The sequence below is a fragment of the Homo sapiens genome, chromosome 16 (assembly GCF_000001405.40).
Source record: "Homo sapiens chromosome 16, GRCh38.p14 Primary Assembly".
Taxonomy (NCBI): domain Eukaryota; kingdom Metazoa; phylum Chordata; class Mammalia; order Primates; family Hominidae; genus Homo; species Homo sapiens.
In genome coordinates, this window is record NC_000016.10 from 116,893 (window position 1) to 136,732 (window position 19,840).

The following is a 19,840-nucleotide window of genomic DNA, read 5'->3' on the forward strand; positions in this document are numbered from 1 at the left end:
TGAGCTTGGGAGGCAGGGGTTGCATTGAGCCAAGATTGCGCTACTACACTCCAGCCTGGGTGACACAGCGAGATTCTGTCTCAAAAAAAAAAAAGAGAATAACTGCTAATGGGTATGGGGTTTCCTTCTGGGGTGGTGAAAGTGTTCTGGATCTAGATAGTGGTGATGGTTATACAACATGAATGTACCAGATGCCACTGAAGCATAGACTTCAAAATGACAAATAGTGTTATGTGTATTTTACCAAAACAAAAAGGGGTAAACAATGAAGTGCAGTCTGCCTGCACCCCAGGAGGGGCCAGCCCGCTGCAGTCCAAGCTCCGAGTCAATGACACGCTCGTTGGAAAAAAAGAGCTGCTTCTCCACTGGCCCCACTCCCTGATCTTAACCATTTATATAAACACTCACCCTCAGTGCAAACACCACATTAAAAAGAATCATAGTAGGTGCTTCCCTCTTCGGGGAAGGATCTGTTTTGGAGATCTGTAAAAGATGCATAATTCTAATTAATTGAGACGACTTTCTAAGGAAAGCTGTTTAGAGCTATTCTACTTCAGGCATGGCAAAAGTCCCCAGAATACAGCACCAAGGTCTTGGAAAAGCAATGAATGCCTTTGCTCTGGAGGCGTGCCTACTGCATGGGCAAAGTCACAACTATGACAAGAGTGGGAAGGTCAGTGCTCTGACCCCCTCGCCCCCCCGCTAACAGAAGTGAGCTGACAATGCCCACAGGGGACGAGATGGAGAGGGGCATAAATGGGTGGAGGACCCAGACCCACACCCCCACTGCCTTCCCGTGCCCGCCTGCATCCACCAGGCTGTATCTGCTAAGTATGACGCATACTCAGAACAATTGAGGGACAGGACGATGTTCAGGGACAGCCAAGCCCTGAGCAGGGCCCAGGTGAGGCAGGCCAGCAAGTCCTAATTTCTGTGCTCCCGGTTCTGGCATCCAGCCAGCTTCACAAGGACCAGGGCGCTCAAGGGAAGCATTCCAAGGGGCACGGGGGAACTCTTCAAAGCCAACTACAAGTTCTGCCACCAGGGGGAGTTGGGGCCCCAGGCTGCCCTGGCACCCATCCCCTACCCCTGACTGCCACTCCTGTCTACAGGGTGTGACCGCGGGCAGGCTGCCAACTCTCCCCTTCATTGCCTACAGGTAGGGGACTGTGCCCCAGCTGTGGAGGCTGTGATGAGAAGGGAGGGTGCGGTACAGGGGACCAGGCTCATCAACCGCCTCAGAAACTCCTTCCATGGAGGTTCACGAATAACACCACAGAACCTCCCAGAATTGCTGGATCTGTATAAATGTAGCTAAATCCTACGTTACTGTGTTCGACCCTTCAGAATCTTAGTAATGCCATCACTGATCCTGCCTGTATGCAGAGAGCTGACTGGCAGGCTCTGGTGTACAAGTTCCCTTCATCCTGCTAACAAGATGAGTTCCTCAGTGCTATGACACCTATTCATCAAGAGAACATATAGAGAGGGTTTAGCAGAAAAATAAGTGCTAAATAATACTAATATTAGCTACTAGAGTGTCTTGTAATAAATAAGAGGAAATGCTTGCACCACACTGTAGAAAATTCAAGGGTTTCACGATGCTAGTTAACTCACTATCTTGGCCTCCCCTGGAAACAGACATCCTACATATGAAGGGGAGGGCCACAGTCAGTAGAGACCTAGAATGCAGACTGTAAAAGCTAGGGACAGGGACTGAAGCACCTGTCTTCAGGGGCAAGAACACCTGTCTCTTTTTCTACTGGACTCTCTGGGTTTATGAAGATGCACAGTTCATACCAAGTGTCTAATCAGGTCTCCTGCCCAGTACCTTCACCAGAGCTGGTGTCAGCCTCAGTTCTGAGCCCCCCAGAGCCAGAATGGACCAGGCCTGCCGGCCCAGGGAGAGCCACATCTGCCCAGAGGGTCTGTGCATGCCCAGGGAGAACCCCACCTGCCCAAGGACAGACGCATCTGCCCAGGGGAAGCCACACCTGCCCAGGGGGAGCCACACCTTCCCAGAGGGTCTGTACCTGCCCAGGGGAAGCCACATCTGCCCAGGGGAAGCCAAATCTACCCAGGGGGAGCCCCACCTGCCCAAGGAGAGCCACACCTGCCCAGGGGAAGCCACACCTGCCCAAGGAGAGCCACACCTGCCCAAGGAGAGCCACACCTGCCCAAGGAGAGCCACATCTGCCCAGGGAGAGCCCCACCTGCCCAGGGAGAGCCATACCTGCCCCAGAGCATGCTGTAGCAGTGTTGGGTGCCCAACAAATCGCACATTATCAATCTTCAGTTCAAATTTTTGGCCACACATTTCAGACTTGGTTGCCAAAATTGTTGCCAGAATAACATCTGAAAACCTTAAAATTTAAGAGAGGTAGAATAAAAATAAGTTAACAAAATACCACAGCACCATGCCCTGCTGGCCCCAGAGCGGAAGGGTCTCAGTAAACTGCACCTTCATGGAGTTGCTCTGCCCCGACTGCTGGTGGAAGCTACTAACAGTTGCCCTTCTGTAGCAATCCCAGAGGTTATGGATGTAAGATCACCAGAATTACAAGGTAAAAGGCATGAGAAGCACAGACTGAAGGCACATGCTGTCATTTTTTGGCATGCTCTATTAAATTCAGGAGAGAAACAGTTGCAGTTTGCTTTCAAAGGGAGGATCAGCTGGAGCCGGCACTGCCCTGCGGAGCTGCTCTTTAAAGTTCACAGGCAGAGGGGCCTCTCCCAGTTACACTCAGGTTTGCTGTGCTGCACCTTCAACTCCCAGGACCCAGGCCCTTCACCCACAGAGCGGCCCTTCACCCAAAGAGCCGCGTGGAGGGCAAGGGGACAGTGCACAGGGATGCGTGCAGAGCGCTGACTTCCTTCCTCATAGCATGGCTGCCCATCCGTTCCCTTATCCCAAACACTTAAACTTTCCGGTTTTTATCAGGGAAGAAGCTTTGTGCAAGATGTGCAAGCCCACTGTGATCACAGCTATTTCCAAATGGCAGAAATACCAGGTTGCACACAACTGGGTGCCACGGAGAAGTGGGTGCAGCTGTGGTGTGGGAGGGAGGGCATCCCTTTTCCCCTTTTCAAGGTCATCTGTGCCCTTCTGTCTCCTTACTGGCAATGCTGATGCCTCCTGCCTGGGGAGATCTGGATAAGGGAGTGTCACCTGCAGGGGTGCTGTGGGTGGTGCTGACTCTTATCTCAGAGTCCAGGGCTCTGAGGGCCTCCGCTCTAGAAACACAAATGTACTACCTCTGATCTGGACCCAGAAGAGAGAGAAGTCCCATACATATCTCTCCACCCAGGAAAAATATATCTAATATCTAGGTCAGGAGGGTGCACTCTCTTGGGGAAGCTCTAGCCTCCGCAGGGCCATACTCTGCCCCTGGGCAGGGAGACCCCTAAGGTCCTAGAAGAGACCACTGAGGACAGACATTCTAGGGTGCAAACCTGGTCATGCTTCTTCCCCAGAGGCCCTCTTGGTGAAGGGATGGGAGAGACTGACATAACTCCTCCATGTTGTGATGAAAAAGGAAGGCCTGCTTTGAACTGCACTGTAGCTCAGCTCTGTAATAGCAAATGGCAAGTAGCTACATGATTCTTTCCAAGTCTATCATGGGCTGTGGGGCTCAGACTGTTTTCCAGCCTTCCTCCTGAACTGGCACGACCCTCTAACCATCCGAAGTCACCCTAGGCTCACAAACAAACCACATACGAGGGTTTGGTCAAACCTATTTGTGCCATTTGGAAATAGCCTCTCAACCCAGTCAGGTTGCAGTTGGACCTTCTGAAATCAATCTTGTTAGAGTTATCCTGGGAAACGCAGGACCCACAGCCAAGTCCTCAGCAGCCCACTGCAGGTCTCTCCTGCAGAGATGGAGGATTCAAGTGCCTTACACCACAGGCATAATATGCTTTCTTCAAAAACCCTAAATGGCTCACTCTGTTCTATAACTCCCATCTGTGGGACATGGTAATGTTGAAGGAGGGTTTGAGGTATTAAAACGCCACCAAACACTTCTGCTCTAGCAACTGACCCAGGGCCAACGCCTCACATCCTATCTAAACAGTGCCCCTCCACTCTGCCACCCAGTGACTCAGGGGACACAGAGGTAACAGAAAAATAACCACCACCACTCCAGAAAGGTCCCTTGCTCTGACAGCCCAAAATCTCCACTAAAAACTGCTGCTCTGTCATAAAGAGTCACAGCCATGTCTCAGCCTCAGCCCTCAGGCACCAGTCCAGGGACCAAATTTAGTTTGGCTGTGAGATGGTCCCTGGGATTCTCAGAGGCAAGCAGTGGTAGCCCAGTTCGCGTTTATAAATACCTAAACTTCAAGGCGCCCTCACAACAGCCAAATAAAAGGCTCTTTCCCTGCTAGAGGCCAGGGTCTGCAGAGACGGCCAACTGGAAATCTGTGAGCTGAAGTAAAAAGGCACACTGGGCCAGGCGTGGTGGCTCACACCTGTCATCCCAGCACTTTGGGAGGCTGAAGTGGGTGGATCACCCGAGGTCAGGAGTTCGAGACCAGCATGGCCAACATAATGAAACCCCCGTCTCTACTAAAAATACAAAAATTAGCCGGGCGCAGTGAAGCCTGTAGTCCCAGCTAGTCGGGAGGCTGAGGCAGGAGAATCGCTTGAACCTGGGCGGCAGAGGTTGCAGTGAGCGGAGATCGTGCCACTGCACTCCAGCCTGGGTGACAGAGCGAAACTCCGTCTCAAAAAAAAAAACAGTCACATTGACTTAGTGGCTGTTCATGGAGCCCTCTGAGGCAGCCAGCAGGGTGGTAGTTAGCCATTGTTTATCTGAGCAAATCTGGCCCACAGAGAAATCTACTCCCCACACCTTAATATTACAAACATATAATGACAAAACGCTTTTTTTTCTTTTTGAGACGAAGTCTTGCTCTTGTCCCCCAGGCTGGAGTGCAATGACGTAATCTCGGCTCACTGCAACCTCCGCCTCCCGAGTTCAAGCAATTCTCCTGCCTCAGCCTCCCGAGTAGCTGCGATTAGAGGCACCCGCCACCACGCCCAGCTAATTTTTGTATTTTTAGTAGAGACGGGGTTTCACCATGTTGGTCAGGCTGGTCTCGAACTCCTGACCTCAGGTGATCCGCCCGCCTCGGCCTCCCAAAGTGCTGGGATGACAGGCGTGAGCCACCACGCCCGGCCCCATGACAAAACAATTGAGCGGCTTTTTCTTTTCCCCCTTGAGATGGAGTCTTGCTCTGTCGCCCAGGCTGGAGTGTAATGGCGCAATCTCGGCTCACTGAAACCTCCGCCTCTTGGGTTCAAGCGATTCTACTGCCTCAGCCTCCCAAATATCTGGGATTACAGGCGCGTGCCACCAAGCCCGGCTAATTTTTCATATTTTTTAGTAGAGACAAGGTTTCACCACGTTGGCCAGGCTGGTCTCGACCTCCTGACCTCATGATCTGCCCACCTCGGCCTCCCAAAGTGCTGGGATGACAGGCATGAGCCACTGCACCCATCTGGCTTTATACTTTATATAGTCTGTCTGGTAATGTAATACACATAAAGACAGAGTTATATTCATGAGATTGGGGGTGGGGCAAAACTTATAAACAGCAAACTGAACCATAAACAAGTGTTGTTTTGTTTTATTGGCTTCCAACATTTATGAAAATCCTTTTCCCTCATTTTGATGGTGAAAGGCCTAATAAATGTACTGCAGCACAATAAAACATCTGTTACAAAAACTGAAGATTCCTGGAATAACTTGGAAATTCAAGAAAAACACATTTAGGAAGATGAACCAGCCCAGCCAGAAAACAGGCCAGGACCTTCTATCACTGCCGAGCTATTCTGGAGTAGGGTTTGCTCTCTAGCTTGGACAAAAAAAGGGATGGAAAGACATCCTGGAAGGGAGCTCAGTTCTGCTCCCCCCACCCACCTAAAGGGATGGAAAGACATCCTGGAGGGGAGCTCAACTCTGCTCGCCCCACCCACCTCCTTGCTGGAAGCTCACAGACACTGTGTGTACCTCCAAGGCCCAGAGGAGATGCACTGTCAAGGGGAATGGAAGAGTCGCCCGTCATCCGTGCCCTCCTGGACAAGCACCATATCAATTCCATGAGAACATTTCTGCCTCTATTAAGCACACTCAATAGCATCTAGGCCTGAGCATCACACTTAATGCCCAACCCTTGGGAGAGGCCCCCACAAAACCCCTCAAAAAATAAAAACAAGGAGCAACAGTCACAGGTCTCTCTAGGGCGGCAGTGGACTAGGGAGATGACAGAGTCCACTCCTGCTTGCCCGCCACCCTCACAGGACTACTTGTGCCTACCTGGAGGAAGAGGAGGTTTGTGTGACATGCCTGGTCCCAGAAGTCTCCCGGGTGCCAGCCAGCCATGCCTTGGCCTCTCAGGTAATGTGAAATAGCTAAATGACTGGGTAGAGAAAAAGCCGGGGTGGTGGGAAGTCTGGGCATTCATGGGGGAACTGGGGCAGTGAGGTCCACGCCTGTGTGCCTCATCAGTCACTCTTCAACATGGAGGGAAATCAGGAATTAAGCACAATTACAAGAAGAGAAGGCAGCCGGAATCAAGACAGAAAGACGGTGGAGAGGTCTCGGTCTTACCCTGCAACCAATTGCTCATCGGTTGGAGGACATGGCTCGCTGAAATGGGAACAGGACCATCAAGACCAAACAAAAACATATCACTTTTTTAAAAACCATGAAAAGTTACAAGGCTATTTTATAAAAACTGCACAAAAGTCTAGCAGAAGTGCCACCATTAAGCATTAACTGTTGACCATCACGACTAAGCAACTTACCAGACAAGAAACAGGATCACACACTCCCCACGCTGAGAAACAGGGTCACACACTCCCCACGCTGAGAAACAGGGTCACACACTCCCCACGCTGAGAAACAGGATCACACACTCCCCACGCTGAGAAACAGGATCACACACTCCCCACGCTGAGAAAGAGGGTCACACACTCCCCACGCTGAGAAACAGGGTCACACACTCCCCACGCTGAGAAACAGGGTCACACACTCCCCACGTTGAGAAACAGGATCACACACTCCCCACCGCTGAGAAACAGGATCACACACTCCCCACGCTGAGAAACAGGGTCACACCCTCCCCACGCTGAGAAACAGATCACACACTCCCCACGCTGAGAAACAGGATCACACACTCCCCACGCTGAGAAACAGATCACACACTCCCAACATGTGAGAAACAGGGTCACACACTCCCCACGCTGAGAAACAGGGTCACACGCTCCCCACGCTCAACGCTTACCATGGGGTTTTCTCACTAAAAGTCAAATTCTCACACAGAAGTACAGGCTGGGCAGGAACAAAAGTCATTTTTCAGAAGTAAGCACAAGGCTGGCAGAGCTGGGTCAGACCCAGCACCATATGTATTAGCCGGATGCCTGTGCAGAAGTATCTCATCTTTTCTTTTCTTTTTTTTTTTCCTTTTTTCTTTTTTTTCTTCAAAAGAGACAGGGTCTCACAATGCTACTCAAGCTGGTCTCATACTCCTGGGGTCAAGCAATCCTCCTGCCTCGGCCTCCCAAAGTACTGGGATTACAGGCGTGAGCCACTGCACCCAGCCTAAAACTAATCTTTGTGGTAAAAGTTTTCTCATCTGCATGACAAGAAATCGCCTACCGAGGATCACATAAGACTCCCAGAGGCAAAAGCCTTCTGAAAACTATAGCGTGTCATATGAATTTCACCAGCTCCAATTCTTGAGATACTGTGACTGCCAGCACACCTGACTTCCCTAAGCCTCTGCCTGGAGCAATAAAGTGGTCATGGTGGATCCATATATATTTGTCAGAAAACATCTGGGCTTTTGCACTACCTGAGTTGAGATTTTTAGAAACAGTTTAGGAGTTTACTTTCTGGCTAGGCACGATGGCTCACGCCTGTAATCCTAGCACTTTGGGAGGCCGAGGTGGGTGGATCGCTTGAGGTCAGGAGTTCGAGACCAGCCTGGCCAACATGGCGAAACCCTGTCTCTACTTAAAAAGAAAAAATTAGCTCACCTTGGTGGTGGATGCCTGTAATCCCAGCTACTCGGGAGGCTGAGGCAGGAGAATCGCTTGAACCCTAGAGGTGAGGTTGCAGCAAGCCGAGATCACACCACTGCACTCCAGCCTTGGGCGACAGAGTGAAACTTTGTCTCAAAAAAAAAAAAAAAAAAAAACCTTTATTTTCCTCTGCAGATATTTGAGTTCTGGGACACACTGCTTTCCATGTATTCTGGAAAGAGAAAGGAGACCTGAATCCAGGAGTGGAAACATTGTGGGAGCTCTGCCAAAGATCCACAGAAGGGATCTCTTTCCTCAGCAGCTGCCAAGCTCCTCAGGTTGTACAGTATGAAAGCATTAAGATGTTTCATGGATTTTCCCAAGATCACCCAAGAAGTCAGAATCCTCGAAGCTGAAGCCTGACTGTAAGCTCTGCCTCCTACAACTAGACAAGTCACAATGCAACCCCTTTGCTCCAGAGGAAAAGGAGTAAGCACAGAGGGCTTCTGAGTCCGGCAATGCTCCATTTCCTGACAGGAGCATTTTACAGACTTGCGTCTGCCCCTCTGAGGGAGGCAGGGCCATCAGCTAACACTCAGAGACAAGGATGGTCCTACAACATCCTGATCTGGGAGGAAGAGGTGAAGGCAACTCACCACCCTCAGGCATCTTAACAGAAAACAGTGGAACTAAGGCTCATTCTAAAGAATGTGCCCAAGATCACACACCGAAGGCTGCAAAGCGAGAGTCAAACTTGGAACCCTGAACCTGCACTTGTCCCTTTACACTGCCCTGCAGCATGGATGCGATGGCTGGGCAGAGGGAAGTGCCCAAGCCTGGGGACAAAAATGCCTACCTGCTTTCTTGTGTGTCAACCTCAGCTACAGAAAGGAGAGGGCATCTTTCTAACACATCAGTGTAGGGCTCTAAAAACACAAGCTAATAGAGGCAAACCTAACAAGAGAGGCCCTGGCAGAGCCTCATGTGTGCCTGGTGGGAGGACCTGTATGTTGTGAGCTAGAGAGTGCCTGCCTGGCCAAGGACCCCATCTGGCCTAGGCCCAAGTGCAGCCACAAGTTGGGTACACTGCTACAAAAGTGGCCAAGCCTGAGGACAGTAGCAGTGCCACCTGATTCCCCAAGATGTCACCTGAGAATTAAAGGCAGAGCTGGTAGCTGGGTGAGGGGGCTCATGCGTGTAATCCCAGAACATTGGGAGGCCAAGGTGGGAGGATCACTTAAGCCCAGGAGTTCAATCACCTGAGGTCAGGGTTCTCCATGTTGACCAAGCTGAGTTCGAGACCAGCCTGGCCAACATGGAGAAACCCTCTGTTAAAAAAAAAAAAAAAATTAGGCCGGGTGCAGTGGTTCACGCCTGTAATCCCAGCACTTTGGGAGGCTGAGGCAGGAGAATTGCTTGAACCTGGGAGGCAGAGGTTGCAGTGAGCCGAGATTGCGCCATTGCACCCCAGCCTGGGCAACAAGAATGAAACTACGTCTCAAAATAATAATAATAATAATAATAATTAATAATAATAATAATAATATGATTTCAGAGCATTTTGAAAATGAAAGAAATCAGTTCTTCTCTAAACCTCTAGCTCCCCATTCTCTGAGGTAGTGGCCTAAGCACTGCTCGCAGTTTCAAAGAAGGGAGCAGGAAGACGGTGTCCACACAGAGAGGGACATGCCCACACCAGCCTTTCTGAGGGACACCAGGCTATCTCTCAGACCTGGCTTGATGGCTTCTGCCCCTACCAGTGGTGGGGACACACGGTACATTTAAACATGAGCACCATGGCCCCTAATACCCAGGGAACACTACATCTTTTCTGACCTTGGTTTCAAGTCTTAGAGACACTGGACAATATCCATTTTCTTTTCTCATAATTGAATTATAGAAAAGGATTATAAAAAATAAGTAAGAGTTAATCTCTATAACCTGAATCATATCTTAAATTGTTTCTGAGAGGGGGGTCTCACTCTGTCACCCAAGTTGGAGTGCAGCAATGTGATCTTGGCTTGTGGCAATCTCTGCCTCCCAGGCTCAAGCAATCCTCTCACCTCAGCCTCCTGAGTAGCAGAGACCACAGGCGTGTGCCACCATGCCAGGCTAATTTTTTGTATTTTTGGTAGAGACAGGACTTCGTCATATTACCCATGCTGGTCTCGAACTCCGGAGCTCAAGCGATCTGCCTACCTCAGTCTCCCAAAGTGCTGGGATTACAGGCATGGGCCAATGCGCCCAGCCCTGAACCATATCTTGATGATGCACCTCAAAAAACTAGCCCCCTCTCTAAGACAGCACTGTCCAATTTTTTTTTTTTTTTTTTTTTTTTTGAGACAGGGTCTCACTCTGTCACTCAAGGCTCAGGCTGGAGTACAGCGGCATGATCTCGGCTCACTGCAAGCTCCATGTCCTGGGCTCCCTCAGCCTCCGCAGTGGCTGGGACTAAGGGCGCAGGTCACCAACCCAGCTAATTTTTGTATTTTTTGTAGAGATGGGGTTTCGTCATGCTGTCCAGACTGTTCTCAAACATCTGGCCTCAAGTGATCCCCCCGCCTTGGACACCCAAAGTGGTGGGATTACAGGCATGAGCTACCGCTCCCGGCCCCAAAAGAACTTTCTACTGTGATGGGAATATTCCAAATCTGAACCATTTAATATGGTAGACACTATTTCCATATAGACATTGAGCACCTGAAATGTGACCAGTGCAACTGAGCAAGTGAATTTTTTTTTTTTTTTTTTGAGACGGAGTCTCACTCTGTTGCCCAGGCTGGAGTGCAGTGGCACAATCTTGGCTCACTGCAAGCTCCGCCTCCCGGGTTCACGCCATTCTCCTGCCTCAGCCTCCCAAGTAGCTGGGACTACAGGCGCCCGCCACCATGCCCGGATAACTTTTTGTATTTTTAGTAGAGATGGGGTTTCACCGTGTTAGCCAGGATGAGTCTCGATCTCCTGACCTCATGATCCGCCCGCCTTGGCCTCCCAAAGGGCTGGGATTACAGGCTTGAGCCACTGCGCCCGGCCGCAAGTGAATTTTTTATTTCAGTTAATTTCCATCTTCTTCTTTTTTTTTTTTTTTGAGACAGACTCTCGTTCTGTTGCCCAAACTGGAGTGCAGTGGCGTGATCTCAGCTCACTGCAACCTCCGCCTCCCAAGTTCAAGTGATTCTCCTGCCTTAGCCTCCGGAGTAGCTAGGATTACAGGCATGTGCTCCCATGCCCGACAAATTTTTGTATTTTTAGTAGAGGTAGGGTTTTGCCATGTTGGCCAGGCTGTCTCCTGACCTCAGGTGATCCATCTGCCTGGGACTCCCAAAGTGCTTGGATTACAGGCATAAGCCACGACATCTGGCCTATTTCAGTTAACTTCAATTTAAATGGCCACACTGGCCAGTGTTTGTAATAGTGAGCAGCACGGCTGTGTCCTCACTTTTCTAAGGCAGGCCACGACCACTCACAAGTCACTGTGTAGCCTGTTAATACTGTTTCAGTCTGGTAAACTGAAGCTCTGGTTTCAGAAAGAAAAGCACTTTTGGGAACAACAGTCAAAGACACGGGCCGGGCGCGGTGGCTCACGCCTGTAATCCCAGCACTTTGGGAGGCCGAGGCTGGTGGATCACAAGGTCAGGAGATCGAGACCGTCCTGGCTAACACGGTGAAACCCCATCTCTACTAAAAATAGAAAAAATTAGCCGGGCGTGGTGGCAGTCGCCTGTAGTCCCAGCTACTCCGGAGGCTGAGGCAGGAGAATGGTGTGAACCCGGGAGGCGGAGCCTGCAGTGAGCTGAGATCGCGCCACTGCACTCCAGCCTGGGTGACAGAGCGAGACTCCGTCTCAAAAAAAAAAAAATCAAAGACACAGAGAGTGGATTTGATGCACTTTCACTGCCTTGCTCCAGGAACATGCTCTGAGCTATGACAAGGCAGAGCAGGGGCTTGCGGGCCTACGTGACAAAATAAACCAGGAGGGGAACTGAGCCCCTAAGGGTATGAACCCTGTATCTGGAAAACATGGGTGGCACCAGTGAGATTTACAGATATATGATGTGCTAAAATTACTGAATGAAGCAATTCTTCAATAAAAGATTCTAGAGAGAAGCATGCCCCTCCCACAGTTTTACCTCTTCATTACGTTAAATATTAAATTAATTCCCTAGAAAATATCCTCATGGTCATGTCATTATAAGTCTGAAAATTAACTGCAGGAATTAGGTACTGCCAGCCTTCCTTCTGAGTCTTCAGCAGCCTGGGCCTCACATCCACTGCAGCTTGGAGTAAGGCTAATGTGGGGGGTGGCCAGCAGCCAGCCCTGCTCTAAGCTGATCTGTGGCACAGGTGGAGGGAGAACAGGAAATACCTACCCACTGTGCAGGGGCAAAAGCATTCTATATGCCTGTGACAAACCAGAGTTTGTTCCACCACCACATTTAAAGGGCAAGACAACCACAGGCCTCTACATCAAAATGACGGTCCAATGGGGTGTCCAGCAAGCCCCATCGCCCTTCCAAAGCCCACTCCACTCAGAGACAGTCATCAGTCATGCCAGAGGCCCCAACATCCTCCCAAATGATGATAAAAATCACACTCTTGGAACCACAAATTGTGGTCAGGCATGGTGGCTTATGTACGTAATCCCAAAAATTTGGGAGGCCAAGGAAGGAAAATCACTTGAGGCCAGGAGCTCAGGACCAGCCTGGGCAACAAAGCAAGACCCCATCTCTACAATCAATCAATAAAATTTTTTTAAAAAGACTTGCAAATTGCCATGGCAGGTGTGGTGCTGCCTTGTCAGAGAACTGCAGAGAAACAGCACTACCTCACTGCACAGCAAAGGCCCAGCATAGGGATCTTAGCTATTTTTTCCCGGGACAGTGGAAGCCAAGTCCTTTACTCCACACAGGCCTTGTCTGTGTTTAAGGGAACCCAGGGCAGGTAACTCACAATCTTCCCTCCCTCACCTGGGCCTATGTTACCATTTACTATGCTTCAAAATGAACAGAAGGCAGAAGTGGTCATTTCTAAAGTTTCTACCCTGGTAGTGCCTCCCAGAGAGAGCAGGGGCACAAACACAGGAAGGAACCGGATCCACCTTTCATCTGTGCCTAAAAGAACATCAAAGAACATCAAGGTTCACACCATCCCAGCTCTAAGCCCCACTGCCCATATCACCACCTGAGCCTGGACACCAAGAAGGGACTTGACCAGGCTGTGCTAAACCCAAGCACCTGCATTTGACCTCTGGGTACATGCTCAAGGAATTAGATCCAAAGACAACAACATAGGGGTCTGCTTTCCTCTATGTTTCTTTCATAGGAGATAAACATCTCACGTGGACATGGCCTCATCTGTGCTCTGACCTGCTTCACCCACCAGACAAGCCTGAAGCTGGAACAGGTGCCCAAATTATTCAGCAAGCCCCAGACTGTCTACGCAGTCCTCCACTCTACACTACCTGAGAGCACCCACTAAACGGAAAAAAACAAACACCAGACTTCTCAGGGAGAAAACATCTGGGTGAATAGGAGGGTGGGGCTTTGCCCAGGCCTGGGACCAGGACACGCCCCGCCCTGAAGTGGCCGCAGAGCCTTTACCTGGAATCGCCGTCCTGCTCATCAGCATGGTCGCCCGTGTTGCTGGCAGCGTATCTGCTACGCGGCTTACCTGAGTCGGGGCGAAAAGAGGGGAAGGGCTAAGAAAACAGGGTCCTTCCACACACAGGAGGGTTATGGAACCGTTAACAGCCATGTTTTCCAAAACATGCTCTGTCCATACCATGGAATATTACTCAGACATAAAAAGGAATGAACATGGGTGAACCTTGACAACATCATGCTGAATAAGCCAGAGACAAAAGAACAAATGGTGCACTTACAGTATATGAAATGTCTAGAACAGGCAAATGCATCAAGACAGAAAGTAGATTAGAGGTTAGCACAGGCTGGGAGCAGGGGAAATGAAGAGTTATTGGTCAGTGGTTACAGAGTTTCAGTTTACGTGCTGAAAAAGCTTTAGAAACAGATAGCGGTAATGGCTGCACACTATAATGAATGTAATTAATGCCACTTAATTATACACTTACAAATCATTAAAATGACAAATCTTATGTTATCTTCAAAAACAGTGATAAGGCACGGTGGCCCGTGCCTGTAATCCCAACCCTTTAGGAGGCCAAGGTGGGTGGATCACCTGAGGTCAGGAGTTCGAAACCAGCCTGGCCAACATGGCGAAACCCCGTCTCTACTAAAAATACAAAAATTAGCCGGGCATGGCTGAGCGCGGTGGTTCACGCCTGTAATCCCAGCACTTTGGGAGGCCGAGGCGGGTGGATCACGAAATCAGGAGATCAAGACCATCCTGGCTAACACGGTGAAACCCCGTCTCTACTAAAAATACAAAAAATTAGCCGGGCGTGGTGGTGGGTGCCTGTAGTCCCAGCTACTCTGGAGGGTGAGGCAAGAGAATGGTGTGAACCCGGGAAGCAGAGCTTGCAGTGAGCCAAGATCGCGCCACTGTACTCCAGCCTGGGAGACACGGCAAGACTCCGTCTCAAAAAAAAAAAAAAAAATTAGCCGGGCATGGTGGTGGGCACCTGTAATCCCAGCTACTCAGGAGGATGAGGATTGTGCTACTGCACTTGAGCCTGGGTGACAGAGTGAGACTCAGTCTCAAAAAAAAAAAAAAAAAAAAAACGCTAACAATCAGCTCAGCCTTCAGCAAAACAATCGTTTTGCTGGAGAAAGGTATTGCCTCAATGTTGATGGCTGTTGACTGATTAGAGTGGTACTTGCTGAAGGCTGGGGTGCTGTAGCAATTTCTTAAAATAAGACAACAATGACCTCTGCTACATCTATCAATTTACTCTTCCTTTCATGAAAGATTTCTCTGTCGTACGGGACGTTGACAGCACTTTATCCACCACAGAACTTCTTTCAGAATTGGAAGCAATGCTCTCAAACTGTACCACTGCTTTATCAACTAAGTTTATATAATATTCGAAATCTCTGTTGTCATTTTAACAATGTTTACAACATCTTTACCAGGAATACATTCCATTTCCAGAAGCTACTTTCTTTCTTTCTTTTTTTTTTTTTTTGAGACAGGGTATCACTCTGTCATCCAGACTGGAGTGCGGTGGTGTGATCACCGTTCACTACAGTCTTGACCTCCCAAGGCTCAGGTGATCCTCCTACCTCAGTCCCCTGAGTAGCTGGGACTACAGGCATATGACACCCATGTCCGGCTAGTTTTTGTATTTTTAATAGAGATGAATTTTTGTCATGTTGCACAGGTTGGTCTCGAACTCCCGGGCTCAAGTGATCCACCTGCCTCAGCCTCCCAAGTGTTGGGATTACAGGCGTGAGTCACCACACTCAGCCCAGAAACTGCTTTCTTTGCCCATCCATAACAATCAAGTCCTCATCCGTTCAAGTTTTATCGTGAGACTGCAGCATTTCAGTCACATCTTTAGGCCCTACTTCTAATTCTAGATCTCTTGCTATTTCCACCATATCTGCAGTTACTTCCTCCACTGAAGTTTCGACTCCTTCAAAGTCATCCATGAGAGCTGGAATCAACTTTTTCCAAACTCCTGTTACTGTTGATATTTTGACATGATCACCAATGTTCTTAATGGCATCTATAATGGCACATGCTTTCCAGAAGGTTTTCAATTTATTTTGCCCTGATCTGTCCAAGGAATCACTATCTATGGCAGCTATAGCCTTACAAATTGTATTTCTTTTTTTTTTTTTTTTTTTGAGACGGAGTCTCGCTCTGTCGCCCAGGCTGGAGTGCAGTGGCGGGATCTCGGCTCACTGCAAGCTCCGCCTCCCGGATTCACGCCATTCTCCTGCCTCAGCCTCCCAAGTAGCTGGGACTACAGGCGCCCGCCACTATGCCCGGCTAATTTTTTGTATTTTTAGTAGACATGGGGTTTCACTGTGTTAGCCAGGATGGTCTTGATCTCCTGACCTCGTGATCCGCCCACCTCGGCCTCCCAAAGTGCTAGGATTACAGGCGTGAGCCACCGCACCCGGCCCACCTTGCACTTTTACGTTATAGAGATGGTTTCTTTCCTTAAATCTCATGAACTAACTTCTGCTAGCTTCCAACTTTTCTTCTGCAGCTTCCTTACCTCTCTCAGCCTTCTCAGAATTAAAGAGAGTTAGAGCCTTTTTCTGGATTAGGCTTTGGTTTAAGAGAATATTGTGGCTGGCCTGATCTATCCAGACCACTAAAACTTTCCATACCAGCAACAAACAAAGCTATTTACCTTTTTATCATGCATTCACTGTTCTGTTTTGCTTTGTTTTGAGACAGAGTCTCCCTCTTGTTGCCCAGGCTGGAGTGCAATGTCGGATCTCAGCTCACTGCAACCTCTGCCTCCCAGGCTCAAGCAATTCTCCCGTCTCAGCCTCCCGAGTAGCTGGGGATTACAGGCATGGGCCAACACGCCCAGCTAATTTTTGTATTTTTTTTTTTAGCAGAGATGGGGTTTCACCATGTTGTCCAGGCTGGTCTCGAACTTCTGACCTCGTGATCCGCCCGCCTCGGCTTCCCAAAGTGCTAGGATTACAGGCATGAGCCACTGTGCCTAGCGTTGTTTGTTTGTTTGTTTGTTTTAAGAGTCAGGGTCTCCCTATGTTGCCCAGGCTAGATTTAAACTCCTGGGCTCAAGCAATTTTCCTGCCTACAGTTCCCAGGTAGCTGGGAGTACAGGTGCAGGCCTGGCTTGGAGTAACACTTCCCATTTCCTTCAAGAGCTTTTCCTTTGCATTTACCATTTGGCTGTTTTGTGCAAGCAGACTAGCTTTTGGCCTAGTTCAGCTTTCAACATGCCTTCCTCAAGAAGCCTAATCATTTCTAGCTTTTGATTTAATGTGAGAAACATGTGATTCTTTATTTCACTTGAACCCTTAGAGGCCACTGTAGATAACCAGCTTAATTTCAATATTGTTGTGTCTAAGGGAACAGGGTGGTCCAAGGAGATGGAAACAGATGGGCGAACAGCCAGAATACACACAATTATTGATGAAACTTGCTATCTTATGTGGACATGGTTCTTGGTACCCCAAAACAATCACAATAGTAACATAAAGATCATGTATCACCGTAACAGATACAATAATAATGAAAAAGTTTGAAATACTGCAAGAATTACCAAAACACCACCCAGAGACACAAAGTGAGTATATACTGTTGGAAAAATGGTGCTGACAGACTTGCTGGACACAGGTTTGCCATGAACTTTCAATTTGTAGAAAACACAATAAAGTGAGGTAGGCCCCTATGCACATGTACACACACACACACACCCCCTCACAGTGTGGGATGACAATTAGGTTGGAAAAAGCATAGGCAAAATAAAAAAAATTTAAATGTACATACACCAAGAGCCTTCATATACACAAACAATAATACTTTCCCGGAGTAAAAAAATTTAAAAACCTAGTGATGAATCTAAGAAGAGTGCAAAAGGCCCATGAAAACAATGGAAAAGCTAATAAGGGAGAAAAAAATGAATTGAAGACATATCATTTTCCTGAACGGGAAGATTCAACATAAAGATGCTTTTTCTTCCCAGTTAATCAACAGATTCAAAGCTACCTACACCAAGAGCTTGGGAGTGGGACCTAATGCACTTGATGCGAAAGTTTACAGGGAAAAATAATAAAGCACAGCCAGGATAACGCTGAAAAAGAAAAGTAACGACAAGTGACTAACCTTACGGATAGTATAACATAAAGTCACAGTAATTATTATTATTTTTTTTTTTTTTTTTTTTTTTTTGAGACGGAGTCTCGCTCTGTCGCCCAGGCTGGAGTGCAGTGGCGCGATCTCGGCTCACTGCAAGCTCCGCCTCCCGGGTTCACGCCATTCTCCTGCCTCAGCCTCCCGAGTAGCTGGGACTACAGGCGCCCGCTACCACGCCCGGCTAATTTTTTGTATTTTTAGTAGAGACGGGGTTTCACCTTGTTAGCCAGGATGGTCTCGATCTCCTGACCTCGTGATCCGCCCGCCTCGGCCTCCCAAAGTGCTGGGATTACAGGCGTGAGCCACCGCGCCCGGCCAAGTCACAGTAATTATTATGGAACCTACACATAGATCATTGGAGGAGATAAGAAAGACAAAAAATAGATCCAAGTAAACGTGAGAATTTAGCACGATAAAGAGAGCAGAATCAATTAGTGGAAATAAGGTGAATTATTCAATAAAATTATGTTGGGACCAGATAGCCATATGGAAAAGAAAATTATGTTGGCCCAATCAATCATCATTTGGCCACGTTGTGGCCTGTTATAACTCCAGTTCCACAGGGCTCCAAAGGCAACCATGCAGTTCATCTGCAACTCTTCACAAGAGCCCAGAAAATATCAGCTCTTAGGATTAGCCTTCACCTTATGCCAAGACAAACACATTTAAAAACAAGACATACTTTGGGATGCCGAGGAAGGCAGATCACGAGGTCAGGAGTTCAAGACCAGCCTGGCTGATATGGTGAAACCCCATCTCTACTAAAAATACAAAAATTAGCCAGGCGTGGTGGCACGCACCTGTAAACCCAGCTACTCGGGAGGCTGGGACAGGAGAATCGCTTGAACCCGGGAAGCAGAGGTTGCAGTGAGCCAAGATCAGGCCATTGCACTCCAGCCTGGGCAACAGAGTGAGACTCTGTCTCAAAAAAAAAAAAAAAAAAAAAAGACATAAACAGTCTGGAGGAAAATAAGGGAGTTTTTTATTGTTGTTGTTAATAATTTTGGAGAGCAAAACGCCTTTCCATTTAAAACAAAACTCAGAAACCACAAGAGATTAGACTGAAAACTCCACAAAAATCAAAACTCTGGCAAGAACTACACAGAAGCAAACAGGGTGACTATAGCTTTGTCCCAAGACCTATTTTTACATTAAATATATAAAGAACTCCTTCAAATCTATAAGGAAAAAAAATCAAACAACCCAAGAGAACATTAGGCAAAGGTTATAAATAAGTCATTCACTGAAAAGGAAATCCAAATGGCTCCAAAAACAGGAAAATATGCTTTCTATCTCAATTAAAAGGCAAATAAACATTAAAATTACTACCAGATATAATTTTTCACCTACCAGATTAACAAAGATTGAAAAATCTAACCTATTAAAAATAAATATGCTCTTTATCCCTTAGACCCAACCATGCTACTTTGGGGATTTAATATTACAAGAATTCTGCAAAATGACAATACCTGGAAAGAACGTTTGAACTTTTCGTATTAGCAAAAGATTGAAAACAATTTTGCGTCCATCAACCAAAAGGACACGATAAACAAATCACAATATGTTCATCTCATGGAATTCACCGTGGCCGGTAAGAAGGACAAGGGTGCTCGACAGGTTCTGATCTACATCAAAGATGCAGACATGAAGTGAAAACGAAAACAGGGGCAGAACAGTGTGTATGGTGTGACTTTGCTTGTGCTTAGAAAAAAAACACAAGTGCAGGCTGGGCGCGGTGGCTCACGCCTGTAATCCCAGCACTTTGGGAGGCCAAGGCGGGCGGATCACAAGGTCAGGAGTTGGAGACCAGCCTGGCCAACATGGTGAAACCCCATCTCTACTAAAAATAAAAAAAAAAATTAGCTGGGCATGGTGGCGCATGCCTGTAGTCCCAGCTACTCGGGAGGCTGAGGCAGGAGAATTGCTTGACAGGGGGTCGGAGGTTGCGGTGAGCCGAGATCACGCCACTGCACTCCAGCCTGGCAAGACTGCAAGACTCGTCTCAAAAAAAAAAAAAAAGAAAAAAGAAATACATACGCCTGTATTGAC

At 48.2% G+C, this 19,840-nt stretch overlaps 1 protein-coding gene across 5 annotated transcripts in view, besides 3 other annotated features; it reads right to left on the reverse strand.

Annotated features, from left to right (window-relative positions):
• NPRL3 (NPR3 like, GATOR1 complex subunit) overlaps positions 1-19,840 on the reverse strand; it is a 53,288-nt gene that overhangs the window by 31,507 nt on the left and 1,941 nt on the right. For 2 of the 5 annotated variants that reach the window (NM_001243248.2, NM_001243249.2), the window contains 2 exons: positions 13,630-13,699; positions 2,234-2,363 (listed from right to left, as the gene is read on the reverse strand). In NM_001243248.2, coding sequence (NP_001230177.1) covers positions 2,234-2,363; positions 13,630-13,699 — 200 coding nt within the window. Of the gene's footprint in view, positions 1-408; positions 484-2,233; positions 2,364-8,044; positions 8,182-13,629; positions 13,700-19,840 lie in introns of all 5 variants that reach the window. The other 3 variants (NM_001243247.2, NM_001077350.3, NM_001039476.3) reach the window with 3 other exon arrangements.
• Positions 1-19,840: part of a locus control region, noted in NCBI's record as "regulatory region from 0-65 kb upstream of the HBZ (hemoglobin, zeta) gene; 5' extent approximated based on the cNFG2 cosmid described in PMID:2253879", that runs on past both edges of the window. NCBI's record gives its function as "regulates expression of the alpha-globin genes during erythroid development" and the evidence as "EXISTENCE:transgenic organism evidence [ECO:0001131][PMID:2253879, PMID:1425590, PMID:17110138]".
• Positions 2,399-4,527: a DNaseI hypersensitive site, noted in NCBI's record as "HS-33; erythroid-specific; 2129 bp HincII-TaqI fragment; the nucleotide coordinates are approximate for this feature". NCBI's record gives the evidence for it as "EXISTENCE:in vivo cleavage assay evidence [ECO:0001075][PMID:2253879]".
• Positions 3,108-3,358: a conserved region, noted in NCBI's record as "conserved region; multispecies conserved sequence MCS-R3; overlaps HS-33". NCBI's record gives the evidence for it as "EXISTENCE:sequence alignment evidence [ECO:0000200][PMID:15998734]".